Raw genomic sequence first — 20,930 nt, forward strand, 5'->3', positions numbered from 1 at the left:
TCCCAAAGTGCTGGGATTACAGGCATGAGCCACTGCACCTGGTCTCACATATTTTTAGTACTATAAATCTGTGAATGCCCAGCAAACATCAAGCAGACTGTACTCTTGGAACTTTTCATCTTGAGTGGAGGCGCATAAGGAATGGGAAAATATTGGAACACATATACTGGAGGAGCAGCACCCAGATAAGATCCTTCAGTTGTTCATGCTGCCTGGACTCCAGGAATTGCCTTCATTCCTGTCTTGTGTCCTGATTTGGCTCTCCAGCCTCCCATCTATCCTGAGTTCCTAGCTAGCACCCTGTTAAAAGTCTCTTTTTGCTTCTGTTAGTCAGAATCCATTTCCATCATTTGCATCCAAAGACATTCAACTATTACACCGAGATCCAAGATTTTTTTCAGCACTGTCGCTGTTTTGCATATTTAGCTCTGAGTTCTGACATGCTGAGTTTACTACTATATGAGATACTACCTTCAAAATGTCAATTTCATCCAAACCCACACATTAGTGCAATTACAAGACAGTACATTAGCATTATTATTAATTTATTTATAACCCAGCTTGTTCCAAAAGGATTTCATTGTGTTAAATTATCCTACAGAGGTATGGCAAGAAAAAAAACATTTAAAATAAGGAACAAAAATGAAACAAAGGAAGAATAAGAGGTAGAAAAGTGAGATGAAGCCACAAGAGAACCTAATCCATAAAAATGGTTACTGCCAAGGCTAGACAATAGGTAGGGGAAAGATGCAGTATCGTGAAAAGGTCTGCAGGCTACAGTTGTTGCCATGGTATTTGGCAACAATATTTTCTATTTTTCATAGTTCCTTCTCAACCTGAATTTCTGTTAAAAGCTTGCAATCTCTCGACATTGAAATGGGACCATGAGATAATTAAGCAGTTGCCAAATGGGAACTAACTGAATAACAGAAAAGAATACATTTGCTTAAAGTCTTTACGTTATTACTTTAAAGATGGTAAAAACCCTGAGATATCTGCTTTAATCTTCATCTCTCTTTCTTTCTCTTTCTTTTGTTTTTTTTGGTTAATATTAGTCAAAACCTGGAAGCTGCAGTGCCTTATTTCAAGTTATGATTTTTTAAATTTTGCTTTTCACAATAGATGGACCTTGAAAAATTTATTCTGTTATCTGTTTTTACAAATTCAAACACTCTAAATGGAAGACAGAAACTATTTAAAAGAAGATTTATAGTCAATCTTTTTGCAAACCAGGCATTACATTTTTACTTATTATTTTAGCGATGTGGGGTTTTCACATGTTATAGAAATGTCAGTTCCCGTCTTGCAGTTTTTATCAAGAAAGCAAAGCTCAGATTTTAAATGCAAATACTGCATAAAGATATTGCTCATACATAGTAACATAGTAAACACAATCATGCTGATCTTCATTATTGTAATGACGATTTTCCCATTTTAATATTTATTGCATTTTTTTTTCTATCAAACCTTTTTCAAAAAGGATCGGAGGCAACTGTGGAATACATCACAAGTGCCACCTAGTGCTTCCTTTGAAAATAATGCTTTTTTTTTTTGGTCTTCAGAAATAGGAACAAAACAAGATGTAGAACACCCATGCTCGTAGGCTGGATCTTGCTTAAGTAGTTCTGCTTCCTAAAAATGAGTGCATTTGTTTTCAGCCAAAACATATGTTGAAAGAAGAATTTGGAAGTGAGTTTCCTTGACTGTGCTCAGACCTCCCAATACTGCTTGGTTTTAATTCTACATAGGTAGACATGGCATTAAGTAAAGGATGCTAAAGAAAGGAAACATAAAATAAGGAATTTCATTAAACAAGAAGTAGCAGTAATTATTTCAAAAAGTATTTTTTCCATCTCCCAGTAGGAGTTGGCATCTTACTAAGTTTGATTTCCATCATCATCATCATCATTATTATTATTTTTTGAGACTGAGTCTCGCTCTGTCACCCAGGCTGGAGTGCAGTTGCGCAATCTTGGCTCACTGCAACCTCCACCTCCCGGGTTTAAGCAATTCTCCCGCCTCAGCCTCCTGAGTAGCTGGGATTACAGGTGCCCACCACCATGCCCGGCTAATTTTTGTATTTTTGTAGGGACGGGGTTTCACCATGTTGGCCAGGCTGGTCTTGAACTCCTGACCTCAGGTGTTCCACCTGCCTCAGCCTCCCAAAGTGCTGGGATTACAGGTGTGAGCCACTGCACCCGGCCCCATCATCATTATGCCCCAAATGACTCCTCTTCCCCATTTTCCCCATCTATAAAGCACTGTGACATCATCATCACCACCACCACCATCAACCACACGCATCAGCTGAGTGCCTATGGTGGTAGGCCTCAGAGCTGGTTGTCAATAAAACACACTCAGGCTTTAGGCTCTGCCTTCAAGGAGCCTAAAATTAACCTGTGAAGAGGAAGAGGAAAAGAAGAAGGAGGAGGACAAGAATGAGGCTGAAAAGTATGTGTACAATGATCAAACAGCAATACTAGATAAAAGCTTTCACCATTTTCCTGGTTCACAGACCAGAAAACTTTGGAACCATCCCCTCTCCTCTATCCAATCCTGGTACTTGGGTCCTATAGCATCCTCCTTTGGAATGCCTTCCTGATTTGTTTTTTCCTTCCCTATTGTGGGTTTACTCCTCCACCTCATACCTGGAAAATGGCAACAGACATACCACTTGGCCTCCTTCCTCTCCTACTGCCAGGCTACCTTGCCTAAAATGCTGCCTTTAACTTTTCATTCTCTTCCTTAAGAACAAGTTGTGGCTCTCTGGTGCTTCTCAGACCACGGGTACACATCTCAGAGCCTAATTTTGAAGATCTTTCCTAATCTACACAGACTTTATTCAATTTGATGAGCCATTACACTGCAACACTAAATTTTTACTCCTAGAGAGCAGGTCTCTCTTTACATTGGAAGCAAGGGGGCACATTATGCTTTCATTTCCTTTTTAAAAAATTATGTTTTTGTTTTGTTTTGTTTTTTCTTTTCTCTTGAGATGGAGTCTCCCTCTGTTGCCCAGACTGCAGTGCAGTGGCACAATCTCAGCTCACTGCAACCTCCACCTCATGGGTTCAAGCAGTTCCCCCACCTCAGTCTCCTGAGTAGCTGAGACCACAGGTGCCCGCCATCATGCCCAGCTAATTTTTGAATTTTTTTAGTAGAGACGGGGTTTCGCCATGTTGGCCAGGATGGTTTCAAACTCCTGACCTCAAGTGATCTGCCCACCTTGGCCTCCCAAAGTGCTGGGATTACAGACGTGAGCCACCACTTCTGGCCAATGGTTTTTTTTTTTTCTTGTGGTATTTCTAGCTGCCTTTTTTTTTTTTTTTGCACCTCTTGTGTCATTTGCCTTTATAATATATTCAACCTTTTTTCAGTTACTTCATTTTATTACTTAAAACCATTCCCCTCCTCCATGTACACTTTTTTCACTGGTGACTTTCCTCCTGCGGCGTCACCTTCTCCTCCAATCTCTACTGGTTACTCTTTCATCTTGCCTCATAGCAAGTCACATTGCAACTTCCCTTTCCTGTTTTTTGGGTTTGTTTCACTGTTTTCTGGATCACTGGTCTTCCCCTTTCTTCATTTTCTCCTTGTTTTGCTGCAGAATATTTTTAAGCAATTTCCCAAAAATGGGCACATGGGAGGTAATTGCTTCAAGTCCTTGCATGTGTGGAAAAGTGTCTTTATTCCACCTTCACACTTAATTGTGCTTGCCTGGCCACACTATTGCAGTTCATAATCATGTTACCAATAACAGTAGCTATTTCCTCGTTGTGTTTTAGTACCTTTTTGTCTTAGTCCGATTGTGCTGTTATAACAAAATATCATAGACTGGGTAATTTATAAAGAACAGAAATGTACTTTCTCACAGTTCTAAAGGCTGGAAGTCCACAGTCAGGGTGCTGGCAGGTTCAGTTGTCTGGTGAGGGCTGTCCTCTGTTTCCAAGATGACTCTTATTGCTGCATCCTCCAGTGGGAAGGAACGCTGTGTCCTCTCATGGCAGAAGACAGAAGGGCAAGAGAGCTGAAAGCTGCCTGAAGCCTGTTTTATAACGGCCTTCATCCCATTTGTGAGGGAGAAGCCCTCATGGTCTAACCACCTCTTAAAAACCCCACCTCTTAAGAGTATCACATTGACCAACAAGGTTTAATCTAACATCTGAATTTTGGAGGGGACACATTCAAACCATAGCACAGTGTTGCTGATGAGAAGTCCAATGTCAGTCTGACTCTTGTTCTTTGTAACATGGAAGATAAATTGTTCCAATTGCACTGCTGTCAAGTTAAATCCTAACAACCCATTTCCCATTTCTAAAATTGAGACTCACAGGTCACACTGTGCTTTTAGTGCTAACTAATGACATATCAGAGTCTGGCTCTGAAAATACAGAACTTCATAATTTAAAAAAATGTCTAATAAAGAGGTGAAAAAGATATTTCTTCTCCATAGCAACTAGAGAGAGGGAGAGAAAGAGATCGTTTCATAGCTTAAAACTTTGTAAAAGAATCTGATGAGGTAAGATGTTAAATGTGAACTCTCACAAGACATCAGTCTTATTTCCAGTGTGATATAAAGTCTTGCACAAATATTCCCAACTTCTACCCACTTTTTCTGTTTTAAGTAAATTTATCATTGAAATTATTATTGAACAAAGAAGTCCTGTAGATGCTAGAAATTTTAGAAATTGTTGCCATATAGCGTAAGCATGACCTTCAACAACATTAGTAATTCTGGCTCATAGTCTTACTTGTTGGTTTGTTGCCTTGGTGATAATGTAGTTGATGCCTATGTTCCCAGTGATATAAACATTAACAGGGTTTCTCAGTCAAATCAAAAAGAGGATTGGCTTTCTCTCCTTTTTCCTATTTGCATAATGGACAAATAAAAGTCTATTCTGCTAGAGTCTTCAACACAAAAAAAAGTTTAAGGTCTTGTCCTAGTTACATCTCCACAGAGATACCAGTTGCTTCAGCATTGTGACTTCTCAAACTAAGTGTTGGTTTTACAAGATGTTTTATTTAGGATACCTGAGCACTATTCACAACATGGTACCTTTTCAGTATTATTTGCAACATGTATTGTTTAGATGCCCTTAAGGAAACTTTGGAAGGGGGAAGGAATATTTGATATCAGTGTAAAAGGCAAAGGGGGGCCGGGCATGGTGGCTCACGCCTGTAATCCCAGCACTTTGGGAGGCTGAGGCAGGTGGGTCATGAGGTCAGGAGTTCGACACCAGCCTTACCAACATGGTGAAACCCCGTCTCTACTAAAAATACAAAAATTAGCAGGGTGTGGTGGCAGGCACCTGTAACCCCAGCTACTCAGGAGGCTGAGGCAGGAGAATCACTTGAACCCGGGAGGTGGAGGTTGTAGTGAGCAGAGATCACGCCACTGCACTCCAGCCTGGGTGACAGAGCAAGACTCTGTCTCAAAAAAATAAAAAATAAAAAAAAAAAGGCAAAGTGGTAGTTCCCTTAATTTACAAAAATTCAAAACCAAAAACATTTTCTATATTACCGTAGTATTAAATCTTTACTAAATGTATTATTGTATAGAGTAACCAGCTCCACAACATAGACTAGTAGAAAAAAATAATGCTGTGGAAAGAAACCTTTTTCAGGTCCATATGAGCCTTTATATCATCATTGAAAGTGATCTAATAGACAGTAGATAAACAGAATGGAATAGAGTCCAGGCATAGACCCGTACACAGAGGATTACTTAATTTATCACAAATATGCCAATGAAATTCAGTGTGGAAAGGAAGGGCTTTTCAATAAATGGTGTTGGTTCAAAGGATATTTGCATTTGAAAATTGGATAAATGTTATCAAATTATTCCTTAGAAAGCTTATACTAATTTATAGTCTCACCAACTTGATTGAAAAGTGTTCTGTGGTCTATTCATGTAAATGTTCAAAGATGTTTGCAAAGAATGGATATTTTGTTTATTGGGCACAAAGTCCTCTTTCTATGTGTGTGTATAATGCATTGTATTTATTATTCAAGCAACAAGGGTTTATTGAATGCCTCTGTACATGCTAGGTACTGTTCTAGGCCCCAGGGATTTGGCCGAAGGCAAAGTAACCTACTTTCTTGGAGCTTACATTCTTGTAGGGGAAGACAGATAATAAAGAGACAAAAATAATATAGTTTCACATGGTTGTGTAAGTTGTGTGAGGGAAAAACCCATCAGTTTAAGAGGATAGAGGGAGACTGGGGTGAGGGCTGTATTTCAGATCCGAGAGTCAGGGAAGGCTTCTCTGCATGTTGAGAAGGAGGGAGCCACGTGGTCTGAGGGGAAGGCATGTGTCCCAGGCAGAAGCTCAGGGAGTATGTGGGAAAGGGTCAGAGGGAGGCCAGGGTGGCTGGAGAGTGTGGGAGATGCTCAGAGAGGTAGGTAGGCAGGGGCCATATCACACTGGCCTTATTGACCATAGCATGATGTTTAGGCTTTGTTTCAGTGTAATGGGAAAGCATCAGAGGCTCCTCAGTCCTGCTGTGGCATGATCTGATTTACGTTAAGAGATAATTTTGTGCTGTGGGGAAATGAATTGGAAGGGGACAAAAGAAGCAAAAAGACTGAGTTGCGGCCACGGTGACAGTAGCATGGACTAGGTGGTAGCTGGGGAAGTGGTAAAATGTGACCAAGCTTAGTCTGTATCTGGGTGATATAACGAGATGTGCTGATTGTTTGGATGTCAGAAGTGGGGTGGGGCCAAGGGAAAGAGAGGAATCAAAGGTGACTCCTAAGTTTTGAGCCTAGTACCTGGGTCAGTTGTGGTGCCACCAGCTGAGATAGAGATGACTGGGGAGGAGGGGAGTTGGGGCTGGGGTGCAATGGGAAGAAAAACTTTGGTATGTATTGACGGAAACAACCCAGTGTGTCCATCAGCAGACAAATGGATAAACAAAATGTGGTATATCCATACAGTGGAATATTATTCATCTATGAAAAGGAATGACAACATACTGATACGTGCTACCACATTAATGAACCTTGAAAGCATCATACTAAGTGACAAAAACCACACACAAAACACCCCATGTTGTATGATTCCATTTATATGAAATATCCAAAATAGGCAAATCTATAGAGATAAAAAAAAAAGCCAGGGGTTCACGTCAGTGAAAGAGTAACTGGGAATGATTGATTAATAAATATGGAGTTCCCATTAGGGGTGATGAAAAAGTCCTGGACCTAGATAGTGGAGCTGGTTGAACAGCACTGTGAATGTACAAGTGCCATGGAATTGTACACTTTAAAATGGTTACAATGGTCAATGTTCTGTTCCATGTATTTTACCATAATAAAAAAGAATCTGAGACAACAACCAAAAACTTCAGGATGTACGTAGTGAAGCTGAGAGTTTAGTTTAAGATATGTTAAATTTGAGATGCTTATCAGATATTCATGTGGATTTGGATAAAGGAATCTGAAGCTTGGGTGAGTTCAGGATGGGAGGAATAAATCTGGGAGTCATAAACATGGAATGGCACTTAAAGACTGAGGACTGGATGGGCATGGTGGCTCATGCCTGTAATCCCAGCACTTTGGGAGGCCGAGGAAGGCAGGCAGATCATGAGGTCAGGAGTTCGAGACCAGCCTGGCCAATATGGTGAAACCCTGTCTCTAATAAAAATACAAAAATCAGACAGGCATAGTTGTGCGTGCCTGCAGTCCCAGCTACTCAGCAGCTGAGGCAAGAGAATCACTTGAACCTGGGAGGCGGAGGTTGCAGTGAGCCAAGATTGCACCACTGCACTCCAGCCTGGGCGACAGAGTGAGACTCCATATACAAAAAAAAAAAAAAGTACTGAGGACTAGTGAGATCCCCTAGGAAGGCAGTGTAGAGAGAGGAGAGGAAGGAGAAAGGGAAGACTGCGTCCTGGGCTATCTCAACACTAGGAGGTCACAAACAGGAGGAGGCATCAGCAAAGCAGACTGGCCACGCTGGACCCATAAAGTAGCAGGAAAGTTAGGAGAGCATAGAATCTCCAGAGCGCAGTGCCAAATGTGTCCATTGCTGCCTGGAGGTGGAGTAAGGTGAACATAGTTGGATTTTGCGCAAGTAAGGTTCCTGCCGTCTATACAAAGTTGTTCAAGGTGGTTAAATGCACTGCTCAAATACGCTTGATGACTTCTTTTGTCTATCAATTTCTGAAATAGATGGATTACGGTTTTCCCCCATTATAATAGATTGATTTTAATTTCTTCTTGTATTTCTAACATCTTTGTTTTCTGAATTTTGAAGTTCTATATTGAGTGAATAAAAGTTCTTGGCTCTCGTGTCTTGTTAGTGAATTGTGACTTTTATCATTTGGAAATAGCCTTCTTTTCTGTTAATATTTTAGGTATCTGTTTTGTAAACAGCATACACAGTAGTCCCCACTTAGCAGAGGGGAATAGTTCCAAGGCCCCCAAGTGGATGCTGAAGCCTCGGGTAGTATCAAACCCGATTGCCATCAGTCAGAACACATTTCTTTCCTTGTCTTCCACCCACAAACTTAATGCCATTTCCATCTTAACTAAACACTTAGCATACACCGTGGCTGAGACTTTTGCAGTTTGAGGTGCACCAGCAAAATTAGCACAAATTTCTTTTTCTTTCTTCTTAATTTCAGGGATAGAAAATTCATTCTTAAAGTAGATCTTAACAACCTCAGCATACGATGTTTTTTTCTTCCCTTAAGTTGAGAACTTTCACCTTTTCACTTAAAGGAAGCACTTTACAGCTTCTCTTTGGCATATCCAAATTACCAGCATGACTAGTCTTGTAAAATAAGGGTTACTTGGACACAAGCACTGTGATACCATGACAGTCAATCCGATAACTGAGAAGGCCAAGTGACTAACGGATGGCTGGTGTCTCCAGCATGGATACGCTGGGACAGAGGGGTGGTTCATGCCCCAGGCAGGGCTGAGCAGGGCAATGTGGGATTTCATCATGCTACTCAGAACGGCTCACAACTGAAAACTTAAGACTTGTTTATTTCTGAATTTTCCATTTAACATTTTTGGACCATGGTTGACCATGGGTAACTGAAACTGCAGAATTGCTGCAGATAAAAGAGCCTACTGTAACTGCAGTCTTTGTAACCCAAATCAGGACTAAATTTTTAAATAAAGGAGCACAGAACATGCAGCCAATTTTGGATGTGTGGGTTTTTATTTTTTCCCCACTGTCAATGTTGTTGATCTTATTTAACGTCTATCTACCAGACATTTGAAAAATGTTCTGATAATGGACACCCTTTCCTATTTTCCAGAGACTCTAGCATTTGTGATTTTTAATTCGTGGTTTTAATCCAGGCATTCATGGTTTTAAATTCATTCACATTTATTGGTAGTAGTATGCTTAAATATATTTCTGTTATGTTGATACGTGCTTTCTTTCCATGTTGCTTTTTTGCTGTTTCTTTTTTCTCATTCCTCTTTCATTAGATTGATCAAGTTTTCTTTGTTCCATTTGTTTTCCTTCAAGGGTTGGCAGAGTTACGTATTCTATTTTTTTTTTTTTCAGACAAAGTCTCACTCTGTTGCCAGGCTGGAGTGCAGTGGCGCTATCTCAGCTCACTGCAACCTCTGCCTCCCAGGTTCAAGCGATTCTCCTGCCTCAGCTTCCCGAGTAGCTGGGATTACAAGCACCCACCAACATGCCCTACTAATTTTTGTATTTTTAGTAGAGACGGGGTTTCACCATGTTGGTCAGGCTGGTCTCGAACTCCTGACCTCAAGTGATCCACCCGCCTCAGCCTCCTAAAGTGCTGGGATTACAGGTGTGAGCCACCACGCCCGGCCAGAGTTATGTATTCTATTTCAATTATTTACATGGTTAACTTAAAATGTTTACTCCCACGATTATATATGGTTTCTATGAGCACCTAGAATTAATCTATCTTTATATTGTAGGGGAGGCAAAATTTGACTTCTACCCTTTTAGAGCTTTCAGTTGGGCCTGAAAATTAAATTGACATAGAACAGATTAACAGGGGAAAAGTATACAAATTTATATAAATTTTACATGACATGAGGACCTTCATGGAAACAAAGGACCAAAGAAGTGCTAAATCTACATACTAGAGAAGCAAACGAAGAAAAGTAACCAAGTCAGCCGGTAGCGGTGGCTCATGCCTGTAATCCCAGCACTTTGGGAGGCCGAGGAGGGCAGATCACCTGAAGTCAGGAGTTGGAGACCAGCCTGGCTAACATGGTGAAACCCCTTTTCTACTAAAAATACAAAAAATTAGCCAGGCATCATGGCACACGCCTGTAATCCCAACTACTCAGGAGGCTGAGGCAGGAGAATGGCTTGAACCCGGGAGGCAGAGTTTGCAGTGAGCCGAGATCATGCCACTGCACTCCAGCCTGGGTGACAGAGCGAGACTCCATCTCAAAAAAAAAAAAAAAAGAAGAAGAAAATTAACCAAGTTATGTGGGGAGGCTACAGGAAGATAGGAACTATTTTAACAAAGGCTGTTTGTACAGGATTCTCTTGGCTATGACTCCTTGTTGAAGAATGTTTCCTTTCTCCTGGTACAAGGAGGACATCTTTCATATGGGAGTTTTTATTTCCTGTTTCCAGGAAGAAAAAGGGAGATGAGAATGTGCATTTTTCATCTGCTATTTTTCAAGTGCCTTCAGCTTAAAAATAATCTTTAGGCCAAAGTGGCATTTTTTGGGTGGCATATTCTGCCACCCTTCAATATTTTCCTATTAAACAAGAAATTTACACTCTCTGACTTCCTCCTTCCTCCACTGCTACTTCTACAGGGTAAGCACTTTTACCAGATTAGTTTTATTCTTAGTTAAGTATAAGTTTTACAGTTTTTTTGGGGGGGCGGGGTGGGGCAGGGGGCACTTACCCTTTTACTTGTATCCCACATTATATTTTTCTTTGGAGTACTTTTTGTCATTATTGTTTTGTTATAGCTCATTTTGTAATTATTTTGGAGATAGTGTGTTTGTGGCAAAACTTCTGAGTCCTTGTATGTTCAAACATGTTTTCACATTTGATTGTAAGTTTACCTCCATATAGACTTCCAATTCAAGACCTGTTTTCCTCTCAGAATTGTGAAGATAATGTTTTGGCGTCTTCAGCAGCCAGGATTGTTGGTGAGAAAGTCTGATGCCAATCTGCTCATTGTTTATTTATGTGGAATTTTTCAGAACGATTTTCTTTATCTGTGGGTTTCTTAAATGTTACTAGTACTTGCCAGTGGGCCCCTTTCATCTAAAAGTGTGCTTTCTTCAGCTCTGGTAAGTTTTATTTAATTTTTTCCTTGATGATTTCACTATCCATTGCTTCTTTACTTTCGTTCTGGAACTCCTGTTAAATGGATTTTCAATCACCTGGATTAATTCCGCATACTGCTTAAGTTCTTTCTTTCTTTTTTTTTTTTTTTGAGACAGAGTCTTCCTCTGTTGCCCAGGCTGGAGTGCAGTGGCGAAATCTCGGCTCACTGCAAACTCCGCCTCCCGGGTTCACGCCATTCTCCTGCCTCAGCCTCCCAAGTAGCTGGGACTATAGGCGCCCGCCGCCACGCCCGGTTAATTTTTTGTGTTTTTAGTAGAGATGGGGTTTCACTGTGTTAGCCAGGATGGTCTCGATCTCCTGACCTCGTGATCCGCCCGCCTCGGCCTCCCAAAGTGCTGGGATTACAGGCAGAGCCACCGCGCCTGGCCTGCTTAAGTTATTTCTTATGTCTCCCATTTACTTTGTCCTTTTAATTTCTTTCTTTTCTTTTTTGTTTTTTTGAGACGGAGTTTTGCTCTTGTTGTTCAGGCTGGAGTGCAATGGTGCGATCTCGGCTCACTGCAACCTCCACCTCCCGGGTTCAAGCGATTCTCCTGCCACAGTCTCCCAAGTAGCTGGGATTACAGGTGCCTGCCACTACACCCAGCTAATTTTTTTGTATTTTTACAAAATATAAAAATACACCTTGGCCTCTCAAAATGTTGGGATTACAGGCGTGAGCCACCATGCCTGGCCTAATTTCAATTTTGAAAGTTTCTTACCTTTATTATTCAGATCACTAATTTTATTTTCTATTGTATAGGTTCCACTGATCTTTCATTCATTCAACAAATATTTAGTGAGTTTCTAGCATGCTCTACCACACCTGGATAATTAAAAACATTTTTTTTTTTTTTTTTTGTAGATATAGGGTGTCACTATATTGCCCAGTCTGGTCTGGAACTCCTGGGCTAAAGTCATCCTCCCACCTCAGCCTCCCAAAGTGCTGGGATTACAGACGTAAGCCACATGCCCAGCCTCTCAGTCAACATTCTTGATTATAAGTAACATATACTGGCTCTGGGTAATTTATGCAAGAAATAATTTATTGGCAGGCTTTAGGTAGCTCATGAAATTAACCAGAAGGCCGAGAATCAGGCTTGGAAAACCAGCAGGAACCAAGGAGGCCACAGTCTGGTCAAGTCATTGTTGCCTTGGCTGATATCACCTCAGATTCAGGTCCTGAGGGGAGCAGCCACGGCTCCAGCTGCCAAACCAGGCTGCAGGTCATCTGCCAGGCAGCCAATGACCACACGTAGGGGCAGAATAATGGCCCTGAATCCCCACAATCTGTGCACATGTTCTCTTATGTGGCAAAAGGGACTTTACAGATTTGATTAAATTAAGGCACTTAACATGAAGAGATGGGCGGGGCACGGTGGCTCACGCCTGTAATCCCAGCACTTTGGGAGGCCGAGGCGGGCGGATCACGAGGTCAGGAGATCGAGACCATCCTGGTTAACACGGTGAAACCCCATCTCTACTAAAAATACAAAAAAAAATAGCCAGGCATGGTGGCAGGTGCCTGTAGTCCCAGCTACTCGGGAGGCTGAGGCAGGAGAATGGCGTGAACCCAGGAGGCGGAGCCTGCAGTGAGCCGAGATTGCACCACTGCACTCCAGCCTGGGTGACAGAGCGAGACTCCCTCTTAAGAAAAAAAAAAAAAAAAAACATGAAGAGATGATCCTAAATTATCCAGGTGGGCCCACCCATATGATTCCTTAAAAACAGAGACTCTTTCCCAGCTATGGCCAGAGGAAGAGATGACTGTGAAAGAAGGGTCAGAGAGGTGCGACACTGCTGGCTTTGAAGGTGGAAGAAGAGGGCCAGGAGCTAAGAAACATGGGTGGACACTAGCAGCCAGAAAAGCCTCCCCTAGAGTCTCCAGGAAGGGATGTACCCTGTGGCCTGAGGGCACCTTGGTTGTAGCCCTGAGGGACCTATGGCAGACTTCTGACCTACAGAACAATAAAATAGCAAATCTGTGTTGTTTTAAGCCACCAAGTTTGTGGTAATTTATTATGGCGGTGATAGAAAACCAATACACCACACATGGGCAGGACTTCCCTGCCATGATGCTGAAGAAAGGCAGGTTTCACACTGGTGGCGGACCCTGCGCATTTTTTGGTTGTAGGGCTGCTTGGCCTCCTCCTAACACTTCCTCTTGTGCATGCGCCTCCCAAGCCCCACTTGGCACCCCAACAACACTCCCCAGGCCAGACACTACTGATGTTTTCTTTCAGCCAGCTTAGGAGTGGGGGAAGGCCATGGGCCCCATGTGCTGGCTACAGCTCTTTAATAAATTATACTGTTGGTTGGTCCAGAGCCTTCTTCTGGATTCTTGATTATTGTAATTGTCCTTCTGAGTTTGGAATCTGTCTGGATTTGTTATCTTTCCATTATTTTAATTATTTATTTGGTTCATTTTTTGCAGCCAATTTTGTTCTTTTTTTTTTCCCCCTCAATCCCTGGGAGCTCAGAACATGCAGCCAATTTTGGATGTGTGAGGTTTTCTTTTCCCACTCTTGTCAATGTTAATTTTATATAACTTCTATCTACCAGATATTTCAAAAATGTTCTGATAAGGGGCGCCCTTTCCTATTTTCCAGTGCTGAGTGGATCTCATCTTTAAAAACAACACACTCCCCCTTGTTATTGTAAAAAAAATTGGGTGGAAGGAGATAGGATCTTATGAGCTCAGCTCACTATCTTAAGCTAATCACTGCTCATTATTTAGACTGGTTGTTCTGTACCTGGGGCTCAGACAGAATGCGAAGGACTGGAACATCTCAGAAGGGTGGGCCACGTGGTCCTGCTGCAATGGCAGGCAGTGGGAGACATGCAGATGGATGGTGGGTCAGCACCAGGCCAGTCCAGGAGGAGGCAGAGGTTGGGAGGGTCTGGGTTGGCATCAAAGAAGCCCTTTAACAGAAAGAGAAAAGACAGACCTCATTTCAAATCCTGATTTTGCCCCTTGACAACTACGTAACCTTAGGCAAGTTTAGTCTCATTGAGCTTCCGTTTCTTCACTTGCAAAATCAGGATAACACCATCTGTCAGAGCGTTGCTGCAAGGATTAAGGAGATCATATTGATAAAGTTCTTACAATAGGCTTGGCATGTAATACTACTGGATATTTCCTGAGTAAATTTACATGGATTAATCTGGTATAATCCTGATCATTAAGCCTATTACACAGATCAGGAAACTGAGGAATAGAGAATTTAAGTAAGCTGCTTAAGGTTATAACCATTAAGTGGCAGAACAGGGATTTGAACCTAGGCAGCCGGGCTCTGTCATCTTTGCATATAAACACCGTGCCACAGAGCACCCTGTGGGCGAGGACTATGGGGCTGAATGCTCTTCTCTAGCTTTTTAAATTTCCTGTGCAGTTCTCGGGGTAGGGAGCCAGATTCATTTTATGAATTGGGATGGGATTGAGTCAGCAGGCTGGGATAAGTGGCCCCAGTAACAGGCAAGCTGCAGCTAGCAAGTCATTATAGGTTATTGTGTCTGTGTTTGTTTATTGGCTTGTTTGCTTTTATGATGTATTTATTTTTGTGGAGGTAACATTCACATAACAGTAACTGCGCAAATATTAAGTTTGCAGCTCAAAGAATTCTTACATATGTATACACCTGTGTAATCACCATGTAGATCAAGAAATAGAGAGTTTCCAGTCTCATAGAAGACCCGGCCAAAGGTAACTAGCGTATGAACCTCTACAGGCGAGTGTAGTCTGTTTTTGAATTTCATATAAATGGAACATACAGTTTGTGCTCTTTCATGTTTGGTTTCTTTTACTCATCCTGTTTGTTATTTTGATAAAAAACAAGATGCATTACAGGCCAGGAACTGGTGAGCAGATGGCCACAAGGAGCAGATAGCTAAGATCTCCCAGCATGGCCCCCCAGGGCTCTGGACACAGATATAAACCTTGGTGCAGCCAGCAGTGGGGGATGGAAATGAGGAGAAAAACCAGACTGGGTAGGGCCGCCATCTGCTCTGACACACCACTGGGAGGGCTCTCAGGACGCCCTGGGCCCCAGGGGAAAGTGTTCTTGGAAACTTACAGGTGTGCAGTGAATGTCAGTTCCTTTTCTCTCAGTTCCCCATGAGTCAGGTTTGAAGATGGGACAACTGCTGAGGTTTGGCTGAGGGTGGCACATTCCTCGCCCTTTTGCAGCTGTGGTGGAGCGGAAAACTCTGAATTGCTCCACACACTTGGGTGCAAGAGATGTGCACCCCTTTTTCCTGCCTCTGGGATCCCCTCTTCTTTGAGGAGCAGCGTATCTGTCTCTCCTGTGAAACAGTGGCTTCCATTGCTTTCCTTTCTGGATAATTCCATTTCTTTCCTGAAGAGCCAAGAACTTTCTTTTTTTTTTTTTTTTGAGATGGAGTCTCACTCTATCACCGAGGCTGGAGTGCAGTGGCGTGATCTTGGCTCACTGCAACCTCCGCCTCCCGGGTTCAAGCGATTCTCCTGCTTCAGGCTCCTGAGTAGCTGGGACTATAGGCGAACGCCACCACGCCTGGCTAATTTTTGTATTTTTAGTAGAGACAGGGTTTCACCATATTGGTCAGGCTGGTCTTGAACTCCTGACCTCATGATCCACCCACCTCAGCCTCCCAAAGTGTTGGGATTACAGGCGTGAGCCATTGCGCCCGGCCAAGCCAAGAACTTTCAAAAGTCCTGGTTGAACTTTTTCCAGGACAGCTTATAAAACACACAGAAGTTCTGAGAGCTCATTCACTTGAGCATACGAGAGTCTGAAACCTCAGAGCAAAAGGCTAGTTTTCTTTCCAGAGAGGAAGCGCAGGGAGAAAGCACCCTCTTCTTCTATCAAATATGTCTCCAATAGAAATAAGAACAGGGCACAAATTACCACATCAATAATTTACCCTGCCCCACTGGATCCCCAATCCCTCTGGGACTAACTTAGAGAGCCTTGAAAAATTTCCCTCTCAGCCCGTTTCTTCAGCTACAAACGGTGCTGATACTGAGCTTACAAAGACATTGTGACTAGGAAATGAAATAGCTATTTGTGAAGCTCAATACTTAGGGTTCTAATAAGTATATTTTCTTTTCTTTTTTTCTTCATAAGAGGAATTGCCTGCTTTCATGGAATTATAATATCTGAATTGGGTGGCTCAGATTACAGGGGTCTGAGAACAGAACATTGTGCTGGGGGGGTGGGGTGGGGGAAGGGGAGAGCAAGTGGGGAAGGAGCAGGGTGGGGTTCCCAGAGGCTTGTCTCCCCTTCTCTTTGCGGGGAGGTGAGGAGCAGGACTGGGGGGATATGGAAGGAGCAGGCTGGGGCTCCCAAAGGCTTGTCTCCCCTTCTCTTTATGGTTCTGAGCAGGTGTCTTAGGTATTGGGAGGCCCCTTTGTATCTTCAACGGTGGCTCCAAACCTGACTGATCACTAAAATTACGTGGAGAATCTTAAAACATTCCTACCCCAGCCCCTTACAGCCCTTTCTCTCTGGCTAAGAATCTGATTCAGTAGGGCTGGGTAAGATGAGTGAAAATGCTTATTTTTTAAAAGTCCCCACGTGATTCTGATGACCAGTAAGGTTTGATTTATTATTCTAAAATACATAAAATATACGCTATTCTAAAATATATTCCTGCCTGAAAGTCTGATAGTGAAAAATATGTCCATATTATCTCAGTGAGGTGCATAAAGAGTAGTGCAGGGAAGCCATGAGCTGCCTTGACTTCCCAGAAGGGAAGATACTTCTGTGCCACTATCAAAACCACACGGACATTGTGGCATACTTCATAAAGCCTGAGTCCTGATTTCTTTTCTGTGAGAAAATTTTCATCAAGGTAGGGAAGATCAAAGCCTACCAAGTGCCTTGCTCAAGTAATCTGAGCTGCTCTCATTCCCAAACACTTTCATGAGGGAGACCTTACTTTTTTCTTTTCTTTTCTTTTTTTTTTTTTTTTTGAGATGGAGTCTCACTCCATTGCCCAGGCTGGAGTGCAATTCTGCGATCTCGGCTCTCTGCAACCTCTGCCTCCTGGGTTCCAGTGATTCTCCTGCCTCACCCTCCCGAGTAGCTGGGACTATAGGCACACGCCACCATGCCTGGCTAATTTTTGTATTTTTTAGTACAGACAGGGTTTTGCAATGTTGGCAAGGCTGGTCTGGAACTCCTGACCTCAGGTGATTTGCCCGCCTTGGCCTCCCAAAGTGCTGGGATTACAGGCATGAGCCACCGTTCCTAGCCCGAGGTAGACCTTTAATTAGTAATTTCTTTTTATGTGAAAGTAAATCATAATGACCAGAAACACTTGAAACCTTTTTTTCTTCTCTATATTCTCTCTTTTGTTCCAGTTATTGAAAGCATGGGAACCCCTACCTCTCTAAGATGCAACCTCTGAGCATTCTGGGTTTTTTTGTTTGTTTGCTTGATTTTTTTGAGACGGAGTCACTCTGTTGCCGAGGCTGGAGTGCAGTGGCACAATCTCAGCTCACTGCAACCTCCACCTCCCAGATTCAAGCAATTCTTCCGCCTTAGCCCCCTAAGTAGCTGGGACTGCAGGAAGGAGCCACCATGCCTGGCTAATTTTTTGTATTTTTAGTAGAGACAGGTTTTCACCATATTGGCTAGGCTGGTCTTGAACTCTTGAGTTCAAGTGATTCGCCTGCCTTGGCCTCCCAAAGTGCTGGGATTACAAGTGTGCGCCACCACGCCCGGCCTCTCTGAGCATTCTGATGAGAGAAAATATGAGGATAATAGGCCTGAGGACTGTGAACTGGCTGCTGAGAGGGTCTATTAGAAGCCGGTTAATCAGATTTATTTCCTAACTACTAGATTAGATCAGCACGCTGAGAAAATGAGAATTAGAGTTTTGGCGGAAGAGAGTTTGGGGAATCAAAAGAATTTGGGAGCATTTAACATTTAGAGAAAGGCTCAGGGAGGCCAGAGGACAGGAGAGCACCGTGAGCCTAGGTGGGGAGGAAGAGGGAGGGGCCAGAGACTAAGAAGATCACAGAGGTAGAAAGCTTCCAAAAATAATAATTATTTCCCTCAGTCCCTTATGGTTCTTGCCAGCCTATTCCCATCCCACATTTCCCTCAGCTCTTGTCTCTCTCTCATCCTGGTAGAAGTGAGAATCAAGCTAGTTTCTTGAGCTAGTTTCAAAATGACCAAAGTGGAAGTCTAGGAAACCCTTGGATGTAGTCAGTAAAATGCCCAAATGTCTCTACAGCTTTGTGCCTTTGTAGAGATGCCTTAGTGGGGCCGTGCTCAGGGATCTTTCACAAGCATTCTGGAGCTTGGAGGACATCTTCATTACTCACATTTTAAAAAACGTTTAAATAATGTCTGTCTATGCTGTTTGCGGTGTGTGTATGCATTTTGCATTTTTTAATAGGGCTGGGATACTGAAGTCATGTTGAAACAAAACTGGCTCACTACTGTTAAGAGGTTTGGTTTTTGAGTTTGCTGTCATTTATAGCAGGCAAACAAAATCTAAAAATTAAGTTTCCTGATTCTAAGTGCACTGACTTACACCTTTTCAAAAGGAACAAAGGATGTACTGAAAGTGAATAAATGATTGCAGGGCTTCAGACACCAACTTTAACAGCACCAAGTAGTAAAATATTACTAGATTTTTTTATTTTTGTCTAAAAAGTTATGCTTAGGCCAGGCGCAGTGGCTCACACTTGTAATCCCAGGACTTTGGGAGGCAGAGGCAGGCGGATCACCTGAGGTCAGGAGTTGGAGATCAGCCTGGGCAACACGGTGAAACCCCACCTCTACTAAAAATACAAAATTAGCCGGGCGCAGTGGCACATGCCTGTAATCCCAGCTACTTGGGAGGCTGAGGCAGGAGAATCACTTGAACCTGGGAGGCGGAGGATGCTGTGAGCTGAGATCGTACCATTGCACTCCAGCCTGGGCAACAAGAGTAAATCTCCGTCTCACCAAAAAAAAAAAAAAAAAAAAAAAAAAGTTATGCTTAGGACCTCATTGGATAGAATTAACATTCTATAACCTATAACACTTATTTCAATGGGGTTAAGTTTACTTGGGGGTACTTAGCATAGGATAGTCAGGAAGACTTTTCTGCATTTTCTTATAATAATGATGGTGATATCAGAAGTTCTCACTTCCAGCCTGCTGCTGTAAGTACTCCCTTGAGACATCCTTGACTGGGTGACCTGGAGGAAGCAGATGGACTGTTCCCAGGAGCCTGAGGTGCACATCACTGTCAGTTTCTGCCCTGGGCCATGAAATCCCAAACTGAAGTCCATTGGCCCAAACTGGTGACTGAGTCACACAGGATTGTTTACCTGACTTTCCCTCTTTTCTTATTTTTATTCTTTTCTCATCTCTTGTGTAAAAAAATGAAATATACTTTGGGAGGCCAAGGCAGGAGGATTGTTTGAGTCCAGGAGTTCGAGACCAGCCTTGGTAACACAGTGAGACCCTGTCTCTACAAAAACTTTAGAAATTAGCCAAGTATTGTGGCATGTTCCTGTAGTCCCAGCTACTCAGAAGGCTGAGGCAGGAGGATCACACAAGCCCAGGAATTCGCGGCTGCAGTGATCCATGATTGCGTCACTGCACTCTGACCTGGGTGACAGAGTGAGACCCTTTCTCTAAAACAAAACAAAAACAAAAAAACCAAATGTATAAAAATTGTTATTTCAAAATAAAAACAGAATTGTATAAGGAACGCCCAGGTACACATCACCCAGCTTCCCAACTATTATTCACAGCCAGGCATTTCCTACCCTCACTTCCTTACTTCTACTGGACTTTTTGGAGACATTTGAGGTAAATCTCAGATGTCATATTTCTGCTATAAATATGTCAGCATGTGCCTCTAAAAAATACTAACTCTTTTAGAAGACATAACCACAATACCTTTATCCTTTCTAAAAATATTGACAATAAGTCCTTAATATCATCAAATATCCAGTCAGGTTTAAATTTCCTCAATCATTTTATAGGTGTCATTTTACAATTACTGTGTTTGAATCAGGATCCAAACAGGGTCCAAACATTAATCATTTTAATCTATAAATGCTCCTTCTCTTAAGTACATTTTAATCTAAGATGCTCCCTCTCCTTTTTTTTTGAGACAGAGTCTTGCTCTGTCGCCCAGGCTGGAATGCAGTGGCACAGTCTCAGCTCACTGCAACCTCCGCCTCCCGGGTTCAAGCGATTAACCTGCCTCACTCTCCTGAGTAGCTGTGATTACAGGCGCGTGCCACCATGCCTGGCTGATGTTTGTATTTTTAGTAGAGACAGGGTTTCACCATGTTGGTCAGGCTGGTCTCGAACTCCTGACCTCGTGATCTGCCCACCTCAGCCTCCCAAAGTGCTGGGATTATAGGCATGAGCCACCGCACCCAGCCTCCTTTTCTGTTATTCACTAAGCCAGGTCATTTGTTCTGGATTTTGCTGACTACAACCCCATGGTTGTGTTTAATAAGTTGCTTTCTTCCCTGTACTTCCTGTAGGTTGGGTGTTAGATCTAGAGGTTTAATCGGATTTGATTTGTGTTTTTGGCAAGAACACTTTATAGGTGGCATTGTATACTTCTGTAGGAAGGCATTTTGCTTATCTCTTTTTTTGTGATGTTAGCAGCAATTAATTATCACTGTCT

The 20,930-nt window shown here is 42.5% G+C and overlaps 2 long non-coding RNA genes across 2 annotated transcripts in view; one reads left to right on the forward strand and one right to left on the reverse strand.

The window, feature by feature from the left end:
* The window catches only part of LOC124906097 (uncharacterized), a 26,801-nt gene continuing 5,871 nt past the window's right edge, over positions 1-20,930 (reverse strand). Inside the window, exons 2-3 of the long non-coding RNA XR_007087309.1 lie at positions 14,054-14,222; positions 1-1,774 (exon numbers count right to left, since the gene is read on the reverse strand). This is a non-coding gene — a long non-coding RNA (uncharacterized LOC124906097). The remainder of the gene's footprint in view (positions 1,775-14,053; positions 14,223-20,930) is intronic.
* LOC124906096 (uncharacterized) overlaps positions 2,195-20,930 on the forward strand; it is a 26,663-nt gene continuing 7,927 nt past the window's right edge. The window contains exon 1 of the long non-coding RNA XR_007087308.1: positions 2,195-2,451. This is a non-coding gene — a long non-coding RNA (uncharacterized LOC124906096). The remainder of the gene's footprint in view (positions 2,452-20,930) is intronic.

This window comes from Homo sapiens, chromosome 2, assembly GCF_000001405.40.
Source record: "Homo sapiens chromosome 2, GRCh38.p14 Primary Assembly".
Taxonomy (NCBI): domain Eukaryota; kingdom Metazoa; phylum Chordata; class Mammalia; order Primates; family Hominidae; genus Homo; species Homo sapiens.